Source organism: Homo sapiens, chromosome 1, assembly GCF_000001405.40.
Source record: "Homo sapiens chromosome 1, GRCh38.p14 Primary Assembly".
NCBI lineage: Eukaryota > Metazoa > Chordata > Mammalia > Primates > Hominidae > Homo > Homo sapiens.
In genome coordinates, this window is record NC_000001.11 from 200,027,537 (window position 1) to 200,047,152 (window position 19,616).

Here is a 19,616-nt window from a genome sequence, read left to right on the forward strand (position 1 = left end):
CATAGAGTCATGTGATGAGTCAAAGCCTATCAAAAGTTTCCATTCTTCTGATTAGAAACCATCATGAAACTGGATACATGGTTTACAGCAGGTCACTAATGTTGGAAAAAGTACAGAGTCCAGGGAAAGACTTGCTTGTAACTTTATGAATTCTGGATTTTTTTTTTTCCTTTGCTTTTTCTTAACTTTCACTAAGGGTTACTGTAGTCTGATGTGTCCTTCCCAAGGCCACGAAATTTGACAAGCTGCACTTTTCTTTTGCTCAATGATTTCTGCTTTAAGCCAAAGAACTGCCTATAATTTCACTAAGAATGTCTTCTAATTCAGATACTGGGGATTTACAAGAGTCTTTAAAGCACGGACTTACACCTATTGGTAAGTAGGAGTTTCTCTATTGATCATCTATTTATTCTGCTACTACATACATATAATTTAATCTTGTTGATGGATTTTGCATTTTAAGTCATGGCTTTTCCTATTATGTTTATTAAAAGCACACAATAAGCCTATGTATATATATCACACATTTATCTTTCTTGCAGTTCAAAAAAAGCAAATGGATATTTCAACATATGAATATTATTCATTATATCTAGTGTTTACTGGTGTCATTCTAATACCCTAATCAGCCAGAAAATATAATTTATACTTTATCAATTTCAACTTTAATATTTTCTGATAATTTTTAATCAGAAATAATAAGCTAAAATTTGAACAATTTGAAACAAGTTAATCATATTGAGTGATCATTGATCAAACTTTAACAGATAGCTGTCAAGTATTTGTTACTTTTCAACCCACACAAAAGTATGGTGTCTTATTCTCTGCTTATACCGTAAAAAATTTTCATTTTATTTTCCTGGGGAATGAAAGTCATGCCCCCACCTCCAAAAAAAAAAAAAAAAAACCAAAAAAACTAGACCATCATTAGTAAAGGATTTGAAGAGCTACTGTTTCTCGCAACAATTAGTATATTTTGTTTTTACAAACAGAAATAAGTAAATAAAGCTACTATTCATTTAAAAAATAGAGTTACAAACTTATGAATTTTATAGCAAGACTACATTCAATTAATTCTAAAAGTAAAGGACTGAAGGGAAGTGATTCCCAGTGATCTGTAATTATTTGTCTGTTGGAAGTCAGGCCCTTCTGCCTTTCCCCAGTTTTTGAAGGACCTGTGCCTTTTCTGGCAGCATTTGCCTAGGCTTTCAGACTGGAATTTCCCTCCGAATTTGCAGGGGCCTGTCATGAGCTCTCTGAGTCTCAGCTCCATTATAACAAGAAAGAAAATCAAGGCTTGAGTTTTTCCTCTTTTTTCCTTCCTAGTCAGCTGACTCCACAGAATGCAGTGGAGTCACAGATTGCTTTTTTTATGGGCCAACTACACCCTAAAGTATATCACTTGAGGAAATGTTTACCAAAAATGTTCTATACTTACGAAAAAGAAAACATGGGGAAGGTAAGCAGGGTGTAACACACAATCAATTGTTCTGCAGATAACACAGAAAATACAGGCACAAGAAAGATGAGAGAGCAGCACACAACCATTTCGCATCTTTTTCGTCGGGCAGAACCGCCGCGGTGCGCAGGCAAGGAGTCCTTCCCGGCAGCTCCGCGCAGCTCCGGTTCCGCGTCCGGGGCCGCAGCTAGAGCGCGCTCGGGCCGGAGACGCGGACTGCGCGCGCACGGGGGACGCGCGCTCGGGGGCTCGCGCCCGCGCGGGCGGTCTTGGGCTCCTGCTGCGCGCAGCCCCAGCTGGCCGCTGCCAAAATAGAGTTGAGCTGGGTCGGGAGACCACGCACGCCGATCCCTCACAGTCTCCCCCACACCCCATGGGTGAATTAAAGAGGGTAAGGTAGGGGAAAGAGACGCTGTTGCACTTTTCTCTGCAACCCTGGAAGAACTGTGTTTCCAGCTACCGCACGCGCAACTCACATCGCAAGGGACCGAGGCGGTACACTCTGAGCGTAAACAGAGAACACCTGCAGCTCTGGAATCGGTCCCACCGCAGAGGGCTGGGAACCGGAGGACTGTCGGTCCAGCCCATAAGGGGCTGCTGGGGACTAAACCTCAAGAAAAGTACCGAAGAAGGCTCTCCCCTGGCCTCAGCGAGACTACCCCAACATCCTAAACCTGTGCAGGCACTTCCGGGCGCCGGATTCCGGGATAACAAAATTCCAGTCAATTTGCCGGTAAAAGAGACCTCTTTCAGGATCTTGTTCGCAGCCACCCGCCCCTTCCCAACCCAAGCACATCCCCTCCGCCTCCTGGTATTGCAGCCCCGCAGGTGGTTGTGAGGTGTCCGCACCTGCAACATCTTAGTGACCCTGAGGCGGCTGTGGCACCGGGAGACAATCTGTTTACCTCGTAGCCTCCACGAGGGTGCTAACGGTCGTTCCCAGGGTGAATGGCTGGACGGAGCCATCCAAAGGGCTGAGGGAGAGGAACAGAGGGCGGTGAGGAGCCTTCGGACTGAACTATTGGATTGAAGGGCCTGACCCGATTCCTGAGGGAGAGATGCCCCTTGAATGGGTCTTTCTGATTGCCCAGGGTAGCCCCACTGGGAAGAACCCACGGGTGCAGCTGTAGAGAGTGTCTGAGGGTCTCGAGGGTAGCTTTCAGATGGCAAATTGCAAGTTGGGCTGTGTTGAGTGGTTCACAAAACCGAGCCCGGTGTATGTAGACATCAGTCAGGGTTTACAATTCTATATTTAATTCAGTTGTGTTGTACTAGGAAATGAGCCTCCTTTTGTTTAAAAAGCTGTCTCCATGGTTTTTAACTAGGGGCTACATCTTGTATGCACACTGATGGTTACATGAAAGTTTTGTATAGATGTCTGTGCTTGTATAGAAAAGCAGAATTAAGATAAAGTTGTTCCTTCTGCCTACCTGCAAGATAATCATTCATTGTAGTGTAAAAGCAGCACACTCAGGTTATAACTAGATTGTTCCCTTAAAGTTAACTAACTCTGGGACACTGGCCAGACTCTTGGTTTCTGGTCTTGGTTTACTTCTTTCTCCCAAGTGGGATGATTCTATTGAATAATATGCAGTACTAACTTTAGAAGCTTTTTATACTTACCTATATCAAGAAAAGAGCCATATCTGTGTGGTAGGAAATGTTATACATAAAACAAATATTTATTGACCACTCCCACAGTGCCCAATATTATGCTTTGATTCATATTAAATTTCCATAATTCTTCAAATTAACTGCATTTGCAGAATATTTTATGCACTCAGTATAATATTGCATATTATCCACAGAAGGTTATGTCTGCATACTTAGGGGTACATGATACACAGTGCAAACACTGTATTGAGTCTGTAATGTGAGTCTTGCTATCTGGTCCCCTGAACACTCTGAGTCTGATTTTATTTCAGTGATAACCTCCAGCAAGCTCTGTGCTCATAAGGATCTCTGAAAGTAGACGTTTCATCAGCGGAAAGTGTGATAGCCATTATGTCACCCTAACCTCCAGCGAGCTTTATTTAGAATGCCAGCCACACAAGCCCATGTTCTGATTCTCATAGTTGGGGCTTAGGCTGCCAGTTTCTTCTATGAAGCTAAACTCTAGAGCCTCCCTTCTTTCCATGCCCGAGTCCATCTCCAAAACAGTGCTTCTCAGATTCCTCTTTTCTGGCCTGGATCCACAGGTAGTGACCAGAGTTAACAGAGTTCTTGGGCCAGGCACAGTGTCTCAAACTGGTAATCCCAATACTTTGGGAGACTGAGGATGGAGGATCACTTGGGCCCAGGAGATCCAGACCAGCCTAGGCAACATAGTGAGACCCAGTCTCTACAAAAAATAAAAAAATAAATAATTAGCTGGGTGTGGGTGTGGTGGCATGTGCCTGTAGTCCTAGTGACTAGGGCTTGGGGGTTGAGGTAGGAAGATCACTTGAGCCAGGGAGGTTGAGGATGCTGTGATTGTGCCATTGAACTCCAGCCTGGGCAACAAAGTGAGACCCTATCTCAAAAAAACAAAACAAAACAAAACAAAACAAAAAAAGGATTTCTTTTTCTTTAACACCTTTTTTTTTTTTTTTTTTTTTTTTGAGGCAGAGTTTCACTCTTGTTGCCCAAGCTGGAGTGCAATGGCATGATCTTGGCTCACTGCAGCCTCAGCCTTCTGGGTTCAAGAGATTCTCCTGCTTCAGCCTCCCAGGCAGCTGGGATTACAGGTGCACGCCACCACGCCTGGCTAATTTTTTGTATTTTTAGTAGAAATGGGGTTTCACCATGTTAGCCAGGCTGGTCCCGAAATCCTGACCTCAGGTGATCCACCCACCTCAGCCTCCCAAAGTGCTGGGATTACAAATGTGAGCCACCACACCTGGCATCTTTAACACCTCTTCTAACAAACCAAGAGAGATTTATAGAGGAAGGGAGAACAGAGGCTTGTTAATGCTTCTCTCCTTTACTTGACCCCTCTACCAGACACAATGTCTAGGATTATCTTGGATTCAGCCTTGAGCATAAGTTGAGCTAGAGAAGGGCACATTGTCAGACTTCCACCTACAGGCCCAACCCAATCCCCACCCCCAGGGATGCACTAGGCAGGCAAGACAACTTCACTCCGCAGCTCTAGAGTCTACCTTAGGATAGAACTAGTTCTTTGAGTTGCACTTCCTCACGCTTCACCTTATTGGAACAGACTTCTTGGAAAAATCCAGTTGGCTTCAAGGAACTTCAGGAGGGCATTGTGCTCTGGGGAGGCCCTGGGGAAGTGTTGAAATGTGACCAATATGATCTTGAGAGATCAAGCTTGAGAAAACCATGTGAACTGGAACTGACCAGGCAAGCTGATAAAGGTTGTCTCTTCTTTAGTCTTTTGGGAAGCTGTTATGTATGTTTTTGTGTGGTTGATAAGTAAGAAAAGATATTTGGAGTGTAACTTTTAAACACCAAATAACCTGAATGCAGATGACCATGAGCACTTATATGAGCAGTTTTATCTGGTGATAATGTAATTGTCCCCAAGGACTTTGTCAAGCCCTGCAAGACAATCAAGTTAGCAAGCACATCCCACTGGAAGGTGATCCTAGAATGGTTAGTGATTCCCTTTTTACTTTCCTTACAGAATGATGAGTTTGAGTGAAGCTAAGGGGAAAGACAAAGGGGAACTGATATATATATATATATCCAGCGTAATATATTTCTTTCCTGGCACTGTCTCATTTAACTATAAAGTTTACTTTGTTAACCCAATTTTACTGATTAAAAAATGGAATCAGAGGTCAAGCAATTTACTCAGCTTGTCAAGAGAATGAACTGTAAATAGAACCCAAGAAATATTCTGAAATACATACTCTTTCTCCAAAGTGGTAACCACTTGTTCTTGTTGATATAAAGGAATTATGATTTAATACAATGTTGGTCTATGCAGACTTTCCTCCAATGGACATTTCGAGCTTAAGAAACATATTTGTAAGTGGCTTTTTAATCTTCATTTCCATTCCACGGTAGAAACCATATTTGGATCCTTCTAGAATTCAGAAGGGTGGCACAGGGAGTGGTGTATGGAAAGCAGAGTGGAAATCACATCTGGGAGGACTGAGGTCTGAGTGGGGTGGGACAAAGGCACTTCTGGTCCCCTACTCTGGAGTTTCCTGGAAAGGATCTCTGGAGTTTGGATGAAGTTTAGCTTGTGAATTTGTGGTGTATGGTAACAACTCGCAGGGTTACCAACAGATGGTGAGAAGGAACTGAGAGGAAATTCAGAGCATGTACTTGTTATAGAGTCAGTGAGTATGAGGAGGGCAGGGAAATCACTCAAACTGAGTGACTGAATTAGATAGCATAAACAAACATACTGTTGTACCATGAGAGGAGGGGATAGGGAAAGACAATTTAGGTGTCAATTAAAAAAAAAAGCACTTTTGACAAACCCAGCTGTGCCTCTTGCAGTGAGATATGCTAGTCCCACACCCATGCTAGCATTTTTCACGGTAAGTGCTGGATTCCTTGCTCAGGGTTTGGATGCCTGCAGCCTCTGCTTCCCGGCCTTCTGCAAGCTCCACCTGCTCCAGCGGCCTCTACAGGAATGGAAAGAAAATTGGTCGGAATCCACTGCTGGGTCCTGGAATCAACTTCCCAGTTTCCAGACAAGAAACTCTGGAGAAAACAAGTGAATCTCTCTCAAGCCTTGGCACACACTGTACACCATCTCGTAATCGCGAAAGTTATCACCATGTTGGAAAAGCCCACGCCCTTCTAATTGTGCAACCTCTGTAACTGCCCAGACCATAACACTTTCCCTAGTTCCACGCCCCATGCTTGAGTGTGACGGTACCACTGTTAAGTCTTGCCTTTCCAAGCTCCCACTTTCTTTGCTGACCAAGTGAGACCCAAATTGCTGGACTCCGCACCTCTGCGGTCCCGGCACTCTTTGACCTTAAGAATCAGAAGCTCAGGCAGGGGCTTTTCTGAAGGAAGAAGTTTGGTTGGATCCATCCCCTCGCTGCAAAAGCCGAGGAATTCTGAAGCAATGCAGGATGTTTCCCCTTCCATCAAGAAGTTTCCAGTATCGCCGGATACATTTAAATGGCAGCCTAGAATAATCTCGTGCTAAGGATTTTGTTCCTGACCCAGGTTGAAGCGGAGGAGAGGGTGTAAAGGATGCAACTGCAAGTGTTCAGCTAGTTTCACAAGGTGCTTTGTGGCCTACTAGCGCCGGGATCGTCGTTCTGTTGGCCCCGAGGCTGGACAGAATTGATTCCAATGGATGGAGTCCCAATAGTTTTGAACTGGAACTGGCTCAAATTTCCATTTCAATTACAGAGAGGAAGAGATAGATTAGACCACCTACCCGAGATTATTTCCCCTGCCCCACTCCTTTCTTAAGACCGGATCTCCCTGTTACATTCTTCTAAGGGCACCGACTATACCCTGGCGGGGCACTCCAGGACCCCTGGGTTGGGACAACGTGCTGTAAAGAAAATAAGTGAAAAGGTTCTTCAGTGAACTCTTTTTATACAAAGAGCCGTAGATTCCGATATCCAGGCCAAACTCTCCAAAAAGCCCTCCTTTCCTCTGGGGCAAGGGTGGGAGGTTGCCCGGGGGGGTGGGTGGGGGGTAGGTTGGATTACCCAGATAATTGCTTCGGCTTTCGTTTTCCTCCGCGATAAAAACCGCGCCACGCCAGATCGAGATACTCTCATAGTGATTGTGAATCAATCGCCATCCTGCTCTAGGGGCTGATGTTGATGTCTTAAGTAGTTATTCACACGTGCAGCAGAAAGGCTTTTTTTTTTTTTTTTTTTTTTTTTTTTTTTAAACAAGGCACGACTGCTCACCTATTCAGGTTTGCTTTTTTAAAGCTTCGATCAACACGACGCTCCCTGGTAATTCCTATGGCTGTACTGAAATTTAACCCGTCTGTTTCTAATACAAAGCGCTCGGGATGAGGGCGGGTGGAGCCTACGGGCGTGGGCGGGTAGCCCAGCCCTCTGAGCCAGGGAATGAAACTGGAGTTCTGGCTAAACTTTTCAGAGAAAGGCAAAAGCAGCTTCTGATGGGTTTTTCGGCTGGGAGGGGCGGAAAAATTAGGCAGACCCGGAGCTCCCGTAGGCTGAAAAACTTGCTCCTCTTCCCCCTCGGGCTATCCTGGCCTAGTAATGGAGATCTGAAAAAAATCTAGACTTCTTTCGGGGTCTAAAAGGTAGATATGTGGGACGAAAAAAGTAATTGTCCTGGTTTCTTAAAAAGCACCAAAAAGTGGGAATGGAAGAGAAGACGGGAGAAATTGTTTCGAAGGAGGAAGGTATTGCAAGTTTTGTGCAAGTTTGGGTGGGTCATCTACCCAGGCGCGCGGGGAAAGATGTGTCTGCCACACCTTTTGCGAGCCCAGGAAACTTGAACCGCTCCTGAAAATCCTGATATTTTTTCCCGCTGCAGCCCGCACGGGTCAAGCGCGCGGGGGCTGACCAACACTTTCCAGGTCAGGTCGAGTTGATTGCTCCCAGCTCACGCTCCGAAATGCGGTGCTGAACCACGGGAAGGAGGGGGTGGGGAGGAAGGCAGGCAGTTGCATCCTCGCGAGTGGGGAGTGCGAGGCCTCCTCAGCTCCAGCCAGCTGGGTGAATGGGGCGCGCACGGCCCCGTAACGCCGAGCGTGGATAAAATATGCTAGGACTGCGCTTCTCCGGCTCATCAAGGCTGCGGGAGCCTCCCCGAGCCATCATCCTTCGTAATTGCAACCGTCAATCAACACTTTAAGACAAAGTCAGAACCGGGAAGGGCGAGCCCTGGAGACCTGTCTCGTCGGAAAGAAGGAGGTGGAGGGGAGGTGGGGGAAAAGGAGAGAAGTTTGCCAGAAGTTGGCAGAGGGAGTGCAAAGAAATTGAGAACGCGCAAGGTAGTTGAGCAGAGCTGTCCCCCGGTCTCACCACAGACTCCCAGGCCTCCCGGGTTCTAGTCTCTGGTCTCCGCCACCAGTTACAATTCCCGCAGCGGTAAGTACGGGGTGGGTTCCTAAGTGTGCTTACACTAAGAGGTACAGTGGCAGTTGCTAAGATGTCCCCGGCGGAGGATGAGATGCGTCTGTCCACCCGCGGTAGGTGTATTTATGGGTCAGTGCAGACCACCGCTGGCGCCGGCGTTTAGACCACACAGACCCGGTTCCACCTACTTACATCTCAACTGCTTTCCCTTCCCGCAGCCACTTGGCTGTCTTCATATTGTGGCCTCGGGAACCCAGAACCATTCTCAAATAACCCATCTTAGACACCGCAAACTCGGGTTCCTCCTCCCACAGCTTCCTTTCGGAGAGGGCTTTCTGGGGGACGCCCAGACCCGTCCAAGGTCACTGAGCTAGCGGGTCCCCGGCTTCAACAGGGGTCCCTTGCCCAGCAGAATTGAAGGGTCAAAGGACCAGAGTGAGTGCTCAGAGGGAGGAGGGAGTTCTGAGGGAGAAGAAAGGGTGCACTTGGAGGGCAGTAATGAGCTTGACGCTGGAAGCCTGGTGCCGCCGCCCCTGCCTCTGCCTCTTGGATGGAGACCCAGCTGCTTCCTTAAATCCCTTGCAGAGCTACCTGAGGAAGGTTTGTGTGCCCTCGGGTCTCTGGCAAGAATCAATTCCAGTGGAAGATTCCTTGCCTTGTCCACTGCTGGCGGGGATCTTGACATCCTTCCAGGGGATCTGAAATAGGGCTGCCCCCAGGGAGCGTTTCCCATCGTCGAGTTAAAGGCCTGGAGCGCCGAGGGCTTAGGCTTCTGAGCTAGGAGTTCCCTTGGTTCTTAGGAAAGGTCGTTTTCTCTCGCTCGAGACTTTCTGCTCTTTCAGTCCCCCTCCATTTCGCTGCTACGCTTAGGTTTTGGCCTGGACTAGACTTTCAAAGCAAAGGAAAGGGCTTCCCTCCGTGATACAAGCTCCTGCGTTAATTTTTTAAAGCATGGATTTTTAAAACCCAGTCCCCAGCCACCGTTCCCTCCCGCACCCCTCCCATTTTGTGAGGATTTTTCTTTCCTGGAAAGTCCACCTGTGGAGAGATAAATGAGTGCCAGCTGGCCTTTTGCCACCACCACTCTCCATCTTTCGGGGATGTGGTGGGAGGGTAGACTGGCATGGACCAAGAAGTCGCTAGTGTGGCCTAAGCAAGTCCCTTCTGGCCCTGGCAGCTGGCGTTATGAGCATGGTCACAAAGCTTGTCTCACTAGGTCAGCCTCAGCCTCAGGTTCAGCCTCAAGCCAAGGCAGGGTTTCTTGATACACTACAATTTCAAGGTCCTGTCAGACCCTCTTTCAACTTCTTTCAACTCTCCTAACTTCCCCCGGCTTCACCAAGCAGAGGTGAAATCACCACCACACACTAGGGGTTGGAGGTTTCCTCTTAGGACCAAGCGTTTGGAGTCCTGCATCCTTGCCATGCTAGGGTCTGGGAAAGGTGCTGTATCATAAGTGCACCCATAAATTCTTCGCATTGCTGTGGGAGGAGGTTCTTCTTAATTAAGGCTTTGAAATAAACTGATTTTCAAAGTTCACGAGCAAAGCAGGGCAACCACTGCAGTGAGCCCTGAAACTGACTCCCTTTCTTTATTTTCTTAGTTCTCAGTGATACTTAAAACAACTAGGAATACTGAAATGTAGTGACAGTGATACTTGATACTATCACAAAAATTGGAGCTTTTGGCAACTTCAGCCCACTTCTCCATACAAACTAATGGACAGGCCTTCATAAGTTTAAATGTTTCCACGAAACCTGAAGTTGCTACTAAAGCTGAAGTCTAAATAACTTTGATCCTGAATATATATTGAAGAGCAAAATGACAAATCAATTAAGAGTCAGTAGTACCTGAATTGCCAGGTGTGGGTGGGTGATGAACAACCCATTTTATGTACATTATGCACTGCAAAGATTGGAATAATTTCCAAGTCACCAAATACCGGATTGGGCAGTTTCAATGTGTAATCTCTATACCATTCAAATAGAATAAACTTAGATCTTTTGAGATTCAAATTCACCCCCTTGTGGGTGGACTCTGATAATTACTTCGTTGCACAGCAGATTCTAAATATGAGGCATTTCGCATGCAGTCAGGAGGCTGGAAAGAATGTTTTTCATCTTGTTGGGAGGAGATCTGAAAACTTTGAAGATGCGGCTGGGCTGGTGGTCGAAGAGCTTGCGTAACAGATGGTTCTTTAAAACATTTTTTAAATGCTGGGCCTCGGCCTCAAGTGGATGGTCCCATCAGACAACAGAATGAAAAAGTACAGCCTGGACTGATCCTTGTATTCCGTGTGGAAACACAGGTCACTAAAACTGGAAAGTCTGTCGCTTAGATGATCTTGGGCTCCAGTCGAGGGTCTTTTAAAAGTGAACGAAGGGACTAGGGAGCAGACTGGGGAAAGAGGAGTCGCTGCCCCTTCCTCTAATTCTATGAGTGAGCTCTTGGCTTGTGGCCCGCCTCTCATTGAGCTGACCCTCGGCCCCTTCAGGGCGCCGGGGCCCACGTGTCGCCTCTTCAGGGTCTCAGTGCCCTGGGGAGTTGAAGCTGGAGGACCCTTGACCGCAGACCAACTCTGCATGTAAGAACGGTCAGCTAAATTTTCTCCTTTCAATGGTTTAAGTGGGTGTTTAACTCCCTTCATCTCCTCATCCGACACACTAGCAAGGGCACACGCCCACCCGCGCCCCCATCCCTTCTTCTTGCTTCCCCTCAGATCGAGGAAATTGCCGCTCTGGCTGCTTCTCCTTCGCCGCCACGCTCAGACAGAGGTCGCTTCTGACTAGCTGTAAGACCCGGCTGCATTTACATCCCCCCGCCCCGGGCCAGGGTGGGGTGGGAGGGGGTGAGGCGGGGTGAAGAGGTTGGGGCAGGCCGGGGGACTGGAGCCTGAGCCTCATCCTTATTGGCTGGCGGCTAGTGTCCGACCTGAGTCCGGAACCCGCGTCCGCATTCACTGTCTTCACCCCTCAATCCAGCCTTCCCCCAACCCCTGGCCCTACTTACCTCCTTCTCCCCCTCGTCTTCCCCCCTGTCCTTCCCAGCACCGTCACCCTCGGGGCTGGGAAGGGCCGTTCTCGGTCCCGCGCGGGGAGTGGACCAGGCAGGAGAGGGAGGTTGGAACTTCACAACTCCACACTTGCGATAGTGAGCAAGAGAGAGGCAGAGAGAGATAGGGGGAAGGGGCGGAGAGGAGGGGAGAGAGAAGGGAGGCGAGAGAAAGAGGAGAGAGACCCCTGCCGATCCTGAGCCAGAGGGCGGTGGAGGGAGGGGAAGGAGTCGCCCGAGCCGTCCGGGAGCAGTGGCAGCGGCACAGCCGGGGCGGCAATAGCAGCCCCGCGGTCGCCTCCGCTGCCCGCCGGGAGCTCGGCGGTTCACGGCTCCGCGCCCCGGGCAGCTGCGTCCTCGCCACCGCCGCCGCCTGCGCCCTTGCGGAGCCGAACCAGAGGGCCGGGACGCTGTCTTCCTCGCCTCCTTTTTTAACCCTGACCTCCTCCTCGCAGCTTGGGGGCGGCTCCGGAGCTGCGAGACCGGACAGGGCTCAGAGGTCCTGCCCGGCAGCCCCGAGGAGGCGGAGGCACGCTCCGGCGAGGCGAGAGGGTTGGGTTAGCAGGCATCCCGGTCGCCCCTTCCTTCTTTTCGCCGGAGTTGAATCTGTGCTGCCCGTGTCCAGGTGCTGGGCTTCCGGACCGACACGGATCCCCCATCCCCGCCCGCGGTCGCCTTGTCATGCTGCCCAAAGTGGAGACGGAAGCCCTGGGACTGGCTCGATCGCATGGGGAACAGGGCCAGATGCCGGAAAACATGCAAGGTAAGGAGGCGCCGCGCGGCGCTCCGGCTCCCGCTGCTTCCCCACCCCCGGGCTCGCCCTGCAGGCTTCAGCCTCCCGCCCCGCGCGGGCGCGGGAGTAGCCCCGCTGGGCGCTCGCAGCCGCGGGAGTCAAGCCCCCTCCCCAGGTGCAGGCATAAAAGTTTATGGCTCTTGAACAATGCGGGGCAGAGGTTTTTCCAAGCAACGTCTAATTGGCCGCTTCTAATTAAGGAAAGAGAGGCTTCCAGCTCTATGGCAACCCAAGCAGGGCAGCTTCAGGCTAAAGGTACTTTAGAATAATAAGATCATTCTAAGAAATGGAATGTCTCACTGGACACCCGAACAGGTTCTCTGTCATTGGAATTGGTGTGTACTGTACTTCAACCAGTACTCTTGTGTGGAGGGAGGCGACCCAGTCTAGGAAAGTCAACTACAGAAAGAGGTGACCTCCGAAAGGATTGTCTTAGCGCTATTAGAATACATGTGACCACACCAAAAGCCCAGGCGGACACCCGCAGCCAGCTCGGATTTGGACAATTCAACATTGCTGGCAGAACTGAAGGGAACAAGTTACCCCAACCCCATCCCCTGTACGCGTAGTGCTGAGTGAGTTGGGGGTGGGAGGACAGCGGTTCGTTTATTGCCCCCTTTTAAAATCTGAGATCTGAAAATATGGAGGTCCCATTCGTTTTCCCAGCTCTTGATTGCCAACAAAAAAACAAATCCCGCTGGCTACATTTTCTCCTCATTCCAAAATAGCAACCCTATGGCTTGTATTAAGCCCTTCAGAAGTTTATCTCATTTGCTCTGGGCCAGGGAGGGAACAATGCTAGGAAAAGTCACCGGTGCTCTTCCATCCTCGCCCCTTCCAGGGTGCAGGATGTGCGGGCCGGCGGGCCTGTGATCCCGGAACGCTTCCTGCCATCCCCTTGCGCGAACTTGAAAGGACTGGGAGGTGTTGAGAGCAGAGTTCAGGGCTGGTGCACTCTGCGGTGCTGAGTGGGCGGCGCGCCCGGGCGCTCAGGCCGGGGGACCTGTAGTCGCCCTACCGCGGAGGGGAAAATACGTAGCTGGAGGGCGTGCGCCGTGCGGGTTGTGATCCGTTACCCCATCGGTCATCCTGGGGTCTCCCCAAGCCTCTAGGTAGGGCTGTGAGAGTCCCCTAGAGCTGAAGCCCCGGAGGCTGACCTGTGGGTCTGGCTGCTATGGGAACCCGGTTGGTCCAAAGAAGCCTTTCTTCCGGGCACCTGGAATTCCAGTTTAGTGTGGGGCATCGGGGAAGTGGCGCTGGGGGGCTGGGTTGGGGGACCTCAGCCGGCAGCTCCGGAGAGGGCCTACCCTTGGGGTCGCTGGGTGAGGCCGGCACGATTCTTGGCTCCAAAAGGAAAGTTTCTGCTTCTTGTTCTGGCGCGAGAAGCCAAAGACTTATTTTGAGAGCGGAGAGAGAAATGTTATTGGTAACGTTTTCTTTGGAAAGTTCGAGAGGGGTCTTCTGGACACACTACCTAGTGCCCCCAAACCAGAGAAGTAGTTTTTCTTTGGTGCCTGGGCTCAGAAGTCGCCACTCACTCAGCCCATGGTTCGAAATCAGCATGGGAAGCGCCGGGGCAAGGCTTCGTCGGAGACTAGAGGCCTGCCTGTCGGGAGGAGCCCCTGGGGGATGGGGACCCCATTCTCCTGCTTGCTCTGGTTCCCACCTGGGACGCCTCCGTAGGAGCCCAGAAAGACGATCCACTACATGGTCCCGGGACAGAGCAGCGCGCCCAACTTTGAGGGAACTTTGTGCGCCTCTCTGAGGCCCTAGCTTTCCAAGGCACCGCCGTCCGTTCTTCTTTCCCTAGACCGAAACTGGGGAAGAGTGTGGGCGCTTCTTTGCCCCGATGAGTTCGCCTCCCCAAACGCCTACTTCGGCTGCACCAGAGCATCTGGGAAACTCTGAAAGGTGCCCAGGCCTCACACAGCAGCGTCTCCCTACTCAGCCTCTGTCTTTGGGTTTTTTCAAGAGAGTCTCTACCTCATGCCTCGGTCTTTCTTCGATGTCGGGTCCCCGAGGTAGGCACGGAGTCCCTCTGAAAGCAGTTGCCTATCTGTGCCCCTTTGGTGTAAAGTTAGAGTTTACTTTGTTGGGGGAAGGGGAGGTAGAAAAGATCACAGTTGGGAAAGTGCGCTTTTCGCCTTGTTCCTAAAACATGCCTCAAGACTGTCATCGCGATTGTTAGGAGAGCTATCAACGTCTAGGGGCTATAAAGGAATTTCTGAACCCTCGGCCCTTCCCAAACCCCCAGGTTCCTAAAACCCTAGTGGGGGTCTCTTGGGGCTGGGATTCAGGCTGGCACCGCTGGGAGGACCTCGCCTAGCATCCCTTTATTAATATTTCACGAAGGCAGGCTCCTGCCTTCTCTGGAGCCTCTTTTCTCGGAATGTTCCCAAACTCTGGCTAACTCACTCCCCTGTGAGCCATCCTAGGGCTCTGTGGCCCGGGAAGAGACGCGTCAACTCCGCGGGTCTGCGCGCAGTCCTTAGCCGCAAAGTGCTGCAAGTGACCCCCCTGACGGCCCTTTCCGACCGAAGAGCTCGGGAACCAAAGAGAAAAAAAATAACTTTATTTTCAAAAGAACAAGTCATCACTGCGGCGATACTGTGGCGGAGGACTTTGGCGATGGGGTGGGGGCTATTTCTCTTTCCTTTTTGGTAAACAAATCAGAGGAAACTTCTGCCCGGCCGTGGCTTTCCATCCCCCACCTGCCCCACCCCCTGCAAACGCCACTGATTAACTTAAAACAAACTCGGCTGCGTGTTTGTGCGCCGTTGGGTAGCAGGAGGTAGAGCCTAGGCGAGAGCCTGGTGCGCCCACGGGTTTCGCCGAAGAGTGCCCGGGGGAGTGCGGGCAGGGTCCCGGCTGCGCAGACCTGCGGGTGCCCGCCCACCCGCGCCCCGCGCTCCCATACTTGACCTGTGTGGATGTGGAGTCTCCGGGAAATACCGGATCAGGCACTTCCTGGGGTCTCCTGGTCACTGCCCTTCCTGTGCATAGTTTGTCATCTTTTTAGCTGCGAAGACGCCTTCGTGGGTCTGCGTCCGGAGCAAGGCGGTTACCCGATCCCGGCAGTGAGCCGCGCCGCGCGTCGTGGCGGCCTGATTTCTGTTTAACTTTAATAGGGCGATCTCGAGGTGTTTATATTTTGCTATGATGATCGGAAACATGTGAGGTTCATTACAGGGCTTCAATACTTTGAAACCAAAACCCTTCTGTGTGTCTTTTACTCTTCTGGTATTTTTCCCCGTACGGGCGTCCTCTATTTTCTTTTTCCTTCTTTTTATTTTCACAGATTTTCAAACGTAAGGAGATGAAAGTATCCAGAATAGAAAAGTACTGTCAATACGGAACTGAATGTTTCGATTATCTAACAGATCTGAAAGTTGGGAGCCTCAGGCTGTTTAGTTAAAGTGGGCTGCTGCTGAGAAGCGGGTTTCTGGGGCTTCAGTTTCTCTGTCGGACAGAGTTTGCAAATTGGTGCTGCTGTCCCTGTAAGCAAGGTGCACTTGCAGCAAACCACTTCAAGAGGGAGGGAATAAAGCCTGCGCTTGTTTCTCTACCTTAGGCGAAGGTGACATTTTGGAATTTAACTTCATAGGGATTTAAAAGAAATTCTAAACTGTCACCTTATGCAATTCATGTCTCTATTTGTTGCTTTGTGGAGTTATGAGACTTGTGTTTAAAAGCGGTCAGTTTAAAATGTTAACAAAAGAAGTTGGAATTGTTTGTGGCACATGGAATTATATGAGGTCCATGCTTATTGATGACAAAAGATGTTTTACTTGTAAAAATAGTTCAGTAAGACCTTGCTAAAAATTGTTTTTATTTTATATTTTACCATGTGATATTTGCCCAGCAATCACCAAAATGCTTTTTGTTGCAGGATTAACACCTACATGTAAATTAATTGAATATGTGTATACATTTCTCTTTTTGTTTCAGTGTCTCAATTTAAAATGGTGAATTACTCCTATGATGAAGATCTGGAAGAGCTTTGTCCCGTGTGTGGAGATAAAGTGTCTGGGTACCATTATGGGCTCCTCACCTGTGAAAGCTGCAAGGTTTGCTCACACATTGCTACCTGAAAAATATAATGTCCAACACCAAAATAAACCAGTGGATTACTTCTTTTAAGCTAAATTTAGGCTCCTTTTTTAAAGACTCAACTAAAAATGAGGGAGAAAGAGAGAGTCTTAGGGAGATGATTCTTAGAAGTGTGTGTCTGATTTAGTTCAAAAGGCAAAGAAATTTATGCTGTTTAGAAAACTTTGCCAGTCTCATGGTTCTAAAATACTTTATTGTAGTAAAGTGATATAGCTGTAGAAAGACTTCCATTTCTAACAGTCCTAAATATTGATTTTGCTTGACTTATATATATTTAAAGCATCGTTGTTCTTGAAAGGGAATATGACAAACTATTTCCCAAATACATTTTAACTTCAGAGTATTTCTGTGCTATAAGTCTAAACATTCTTTATCCACAGACATAAAAGCCTAAATTCCCAACTGTGTGATTTCATCTTGATTTATTCCAAAATAATTTTAAGGATTTTTTGAAATTTATATCATAAAGACCAAGAAATCAGATTTTAGTTTTTAATATAATAATTTTTATAAATATATGACCTATTTAAGTGCATGGATTTTAATATGTAAAATATGCTATATTGTTACCAAAAATATAAATTATACTTTAAGAATTTATCTCAGGACTTTTTAATACATTCCCAGTAAATTCAATATTCACTATTTTTCAAAGTTTTTTTTGTTTGTTTGTTTTTGTTTTTAAGTGGAAAACTCAGTACAATTACTTAAACCACCACCAGGAAAATCCCTCCATTCTCTATAACAAAGTAAGAATGTTTCTCTTTGTGGCAAGTGGGTTAAATATGAATACTATCCTGGTAAATCTCATATTATAAAGCTACACATTTTATTTTTGATTAATTCTTTTATATAAAATATAAGGAAAGCTCATACCCTGTGTGCTACAATTCAGCTATCTGTGATACATGCTTTTTCCTTCCATTAGTTTTGCCTTTTTAAGAACAGTTCCCATACTTGAATGTATTCCAGTGGAATTATGAGCATTTTCCCATTTTACTCTTTAAATCCTTTTGCTTTTAACTATCCAGTGTTGACATTTGTTAAAAAAAAAAAAAAATCTGAGGTGTTTTGCTATTCAGTTTTTTCCACTGGCATTTTGCAATGGTTTATCACTGAAATTATATCAGACTACTTAAAAACAATGCCAGGACTTCATGAGTACCTCTATCAGGAACATGTGGGATAATAGGAAAATAGATTAAAAAAAAATTTATCTATATAGAGTGTATTTTTTCTGACTGTTGGGATAAAATGGTGGGTAGCCAAATCTCCCCAGGATTTGACGTAATTCTTCAAGAATAAAACTGATGCCAGAAAAATCTCCACCATGGCCTGGCACAGTTTGGGAAGGTTGATGTTGCTGAAATGTAAAATAAACCACAGAACCACATAAGGGCTCAAATAGTGCAATGAGAGGATTTACTGGTGATTTTCTTAAAATGAAACAATGGAAAAGACGGGTGTTAGATTTATAATACGTCTCACTATTTTCTCTGTCTTATAGGGATTTTTTAAGCGAACAGTCCAAAATAATAAAAGGTACACATGTATAGAAAACCAGAACTGCCAAATTGACAAAACACAGAGAAAGCGTTGTCCTTACTGTCGTTTTCAAAAATGTCTAAGTGTTGGAATGAAGCTAGAAGGTAAGATTCTTCTAAAGACTACTGCCTATTAAAACTCTCCAAGGACATGAACTGTAAAACAACATTGTACTTATAGCATGGTAACATTATTTTCCCAGCATTTTAACACTACCGACAATACTGTAAGATCTTTCTATGTTTCATCTGCAGAATAGTCTGAGTCTCATTTAATCATGGTGAAATCTACTAGGAAAAAAATTTAAAATATTAGTTGTCTTTCCCCTGCCCACCCCCTTTTTTTTAGTCTGGGGAGCAGATGCATTAGACACAAAAAAGGGAAAAAGATCAGGTTATGAAAATAAGACTAAAGCAATCCAACTGAAAACAAGAATAATTTGTAAAACTATTAAAAGTAAAATATTCTTTGAGTTTTTAAATCAAGATACCCTTGGAAAAGTTTGATTTCAATTCTTTTTAAAAGAGGTGTGCTTGTCACAAGTGTTAACTACTAATTTCATGATTCTTAAGAGTTAAAGCCTTTAATGGTGAAAAGGAGTTTCTCATGTAGGATATTATCTTTGATAGTGTAGAAATGTATTTTTTTAAAAGATAATGACTGAGGCTGCAAAATAAAAAATTGAGAATCAGGAAACATGAAAAATAACGAACTATTAAATCATTAGCAAAGGTCTGAAAAGAACAAGAAAGTGGCTCCTGAAAAGCCACACTTGAACTTTGTTGAAAGAGCAGACCCTATACTACAATGTACAGATTGGCAGGCAGTAAAGTTAATATGTGACTGCTGTAAATAATTTGTAGTTCATGGACTACTATGGTATGTTGCTGCTTTCTAGCCTCTGACCTGCTTGCTTTCCATGGATTAAATATACTGCAAATAAAGCAATAACAGGGATACATATCACCGATGGTGCTAGATACAAGAGTGCATTTTATTTGATCAATGAGGCACAGGCTATTTTTATTTGGAACTTTTCTGTTATATGGAACTCATACTTGATAGAAATACTAAAAAAAAAAATCATATAAATCTGCTGAATAGCTAACACGCTTCTTCCGAACAGAGGTAGCCACTTTGGTTATTATGAGGACTGTTAATGTCAGTATCATTTTTAAGAGATCATGAAAGGAAATAATTGATGCTTATTAATTTTCTTATTACCAATCACTATTATTTCCCAAATAGCAAAATATTGTGGTAGATGCTTACTACATACAGTAAGAGACTCAGAAGATAAGTAAATGTTGTGATTTTGCATGATGTCATTTAATTCCTTTTCAACAAAAATAATAAGGCTGCATTTCTTTACCTTAAATAATTAAACTTTCTTTTTTTTAAGTTAAGCTTTCACAATTGTAAATCACTTGTGGTACATGCTCATGCTTCCTTAGGAGTGATATGAAACAACTGAATATTCAATAAATTATCATCCAGATGAAAAACTCTTTATAATCTTGTGCAATATTCTGTATACTTAGAATTTACAATAAATTTTTAATGTGATACTAATCCAAGATAAAAAGCTCAAAAACTTAACCTCCAGCAAGTTCAATATGTCACAAGCTATCAGAGGTCTCTAGTTTCTGTCTAATTGCCATTGGCCACTATG

General features: G+C 46.5%; 1 protein-coding gene across 9 annotated transcripts in view, besides 4 other annotated features; it reads left to right on the forward strand.

The window, feature by feature from the left end:
• NR5A2 (nuclear receptor subfamily 5 group A member 2) overlaps window positions 174-19,616 on the forward strand; it is a 149,706-nt gene continuing 130,263 nt past the window's right edge. The window contains exons 1-4 of one of the 9 annotated variants that reach the window (NM_205860.3): window positions 174-375; window positions 12,122-12,259; window positions 16,238-16,356; window positions 17,907-18,048. In NM_205860.3, the coding sequence (NP_995582.1) occupies window positions 312-375; window positions 12,122-12,259; window positions 16,238-16,356; window positions 17,907-18,048 (463 nt within the window). In that variant the 5' untranslated portion in view covers window positions 174-311. Of the gene's footprint in view, window positions 376-7,493; window positions 7,767-9,488; window positions 11,237-11,399; window positions 11,596-12,080; window positions 14,311-15,054; window positions 15,463-16,237; window positions 16,357-17,906; window positions 18,049-19,616 lie in introns of those variants that run through there. The other 8 variants (XM_047416753.1, XM_011509381.4, XM_017000904.2 and 5 more) reach the window with 8 other exon arrangements.
• Window positions 1,838-2,338: an enhancer, noted in NCBI's record as "H3K4me1 hESC enhancer chr1:199998502-199999002 (GRCh37/hg19 assembly coordinates)". NCBI's record gives its function as "activates a minimal SCP1, AML or CMV promoter by ChIP-STARR-seq in primed H9 embryonic stem cells {active_cell/tissue: H9 hESC(primed)}" and the evidence as "EXISTENCE:reporter gene assay evidence [ECO:0000049][PMID:30033119]".
• Window positions 2,339-2,839: an enhancer, noted in NCBI's record as "H3K4me1 hESC enhancer chr1:199999003-199999503 (GRCh37/hg19 assembly coordinates)". NCBI's record gives its function as "activates a minimal SCP1, AML or CMV promoter by ChIP-STARR-seq in primed H9 embryonic stem cells {active_cell/tissue: H9 hESC(primed)}" and the evidence as "EXISTENCE:reporter gene assay evidence [ECO:0000049][PMID:30033119]".
• Window positions 8,389-9,289: an enhancer, noted in NCBI's record as "H3K4me1 hESC enhancer chr1:200005053-200005953 (GRCh37/hg19 assembly coordinates)". NCBI's record gives its function as "activates a minimal SCP1, AML or CMV promoter by ChIP-STARR-seq in primed H9 embryonic stem cells {active_cell/tissue: H9 hESC(primed)}" and the evidence as "EXISTENCE:reporter gene assay evidence [ECO:0000049][PMID:30033119]".
• Window positions 12,877-13,679: an enhancer, noted in NCBI's record as "H3K4me1 hESC enhancer chr1:200009541-200010343 (GRCh37/hg19 assembly coordinates)". NCBI's record gives its function as "activates a minimal SCP1, AML or CMV promoter by ChIP-STARR-seq in naive H9 embryonic stem cells {active_cell/tissue: H9 hESC(naive)}" and the evidence as "EXISTENCE:reporter gene assay evidence [ECO:0000049][PMID:30033119]".